This window comes from Homo sapiens, chromosome 17, assembly GCF_000001405.40.
Source record: "Homo sapiens chromosome 17, GRCh38.p14 Primary Assembly".
In the NCBI taxonomy this organism is placed as follows: domain Eukaryota; kingdom Metazoa; phylum Chordata; class Mammalia; order Primates; family Hominidae; genus Homo; species Homo sapiens.
In genome coordinates, this window is record NC_000017.11 from 16,363,551 (window position 1) to 16,365,344 (window position 1,794).

At 43.9% G+C, this 1,794-nt stretch overlaps 1 annotated feature.

Moving 5' to 3' along the window:
- Nucleotides 378-497: a silencer, noted in NCBI's record as "silent region_8219". NCBI's record gives its function as "represses an Ori minimal core promoter by ATAC-STARR-seq in GM12878 lymphoblastoid cells {active_cell/tissue: GM12878}" and the evidence as "EXISTENCE:reporter gene assay evidence [ECO:0000049][PMID:35858748]".

Consider the following 1,794-nt stretch of genomic DNA (forward strand, 5'->3'; position numbering starts at 1 on the left):
GCCCCTAAAACCAACATGATGAAGTCTCTGGTGACTCAGGATAAGGAGAAACAGATCTAGTATGTGATGTGTTCACAGAAGGAGAACAGATGCAACACTCAACTCCAAAGGGGAAAAAAATCCTGGTAAATCTGTATAGGATTTTAAGGGAATCTGAAAATGGTATGGCGTGTTTGATTTGCTTTTCTCTAAAGCACTGCTCTGTAAGTTCCTATGGGGGGGGCGGGCAGAGCTGCTAGAAATACAGAAGCATAAGAGAGTAAATAATGGTACCTTCATATGCAAATGTGCTTTTCAGATTGGATCTGTCTGTGCTTGTTTTGAGCTATACCCGGTAAGGCTCCCTCCAGAAACAGAATTCTTGTTTAGCTCCTGGGAGTGTGCAGAATCCACAACAGCCACTAGGGGGCAGGAGGCATGTGTCATATATACCGGGCAGTGAGAAAGAGTTAATGCAATTAACTAAGGGGCACTATTTTGTACCCTCAGGCTTGAGAGGCCGCCAAGCTACTCCAGCCTCATACAAGTGGGGAAAGACTTTGACGGAGTTTAGGGTGGACTGGCAGGCTCTCAACCATAGCAGGAGCACTCAAATTTCTCAGCTTATGTGGCAGGCCTCATTTCTTTCCCTGATGGTACTATTTATCTCAATATTTATATCCCTCTTATCAGCATGCTTGTGGTAAATGTTATTTTTCTCAGCATTTTCAGGGGCACCACTAACCTTTGTGCCAAGAAGAAAACGAAGCCTCTCCTGGACAGACACAACCTATTAGGCCCAGAACTTGGAAAGCTGCCTGATGCTGTTAAAAGTTATTCAATAATACTTGTTAAAGGACAGTAAGCAAGACTTTATCTGGGACCATCAAGATGGGTATAGGAACCACTGTAATGGGATTTTGCTATAGGGGAGAGAGATTGGACTCAACTCTAAATACAGCATGGGCAAGGGGGAATTTACAGCCAAGAAGCAGGGTGGAGGTCAGTGGATGGAAAATTACTAAGAGGAGTAAGGGGGATTCTGGCCAAACCCACCTAACAGGACTCTTGCTGAAGACAGGCCAAGGTGACCCAACATCAGCTGGAGGATGATGGGGGATGAGAAACCTAATCAGATATTGAAGATGATCAGATATCAAGATACAGGGTTCTGGCTAAAATCACTTAGAAGAGTTCTTTTGCTAAAACTGGATTTATAAGGAAGTGCACAGATGGGCCTCTGGAGAAGGTTCAGAAGCCTGACTGAAGTTTGTCCAAGCAAAGAATCTTTGTCAATGCCTCTGAGTGAATTAGAAAACAAAAATCCCTTCTTCCTGTGCAGCCCTATGTGGTAGTCCTGAGTGTTTACTAAGCACCAGGCACTGTGCTGAGATGAACTTTGCAAACTTTGTCTAACAGCCTTCACAAAAAGGCAAGCACTTTTATTGTCCACATTTTTCTGCTGAGAAAATTGAGGGTGAGTGTAAGTAACTCACTCAGGGTCACACAGCTAGCAAGTGGTAGAGCTCAAAACAAAAGGATGGATAATGACCTCAGATGTCCTGAACTTCTTCCCACATCCACTGAACTCACCAGAGTCTCCCCCCACCACCTCCCAAACTACATCCTCAGGGCAGCAAGAGTGATTTTAACTCTTTATTGCTATACTCATGTATATCACGTACATGTAGAATTCAAATAATAAGAAGAATGTCCAACTATGACAAGAAATGGAGCTTTATCAATTTCTCTGATGTGCCCCATCATCCCCTCACCGCTCCTCAAGAGGTAACCACCCTTCTGACTTTTGTGCTC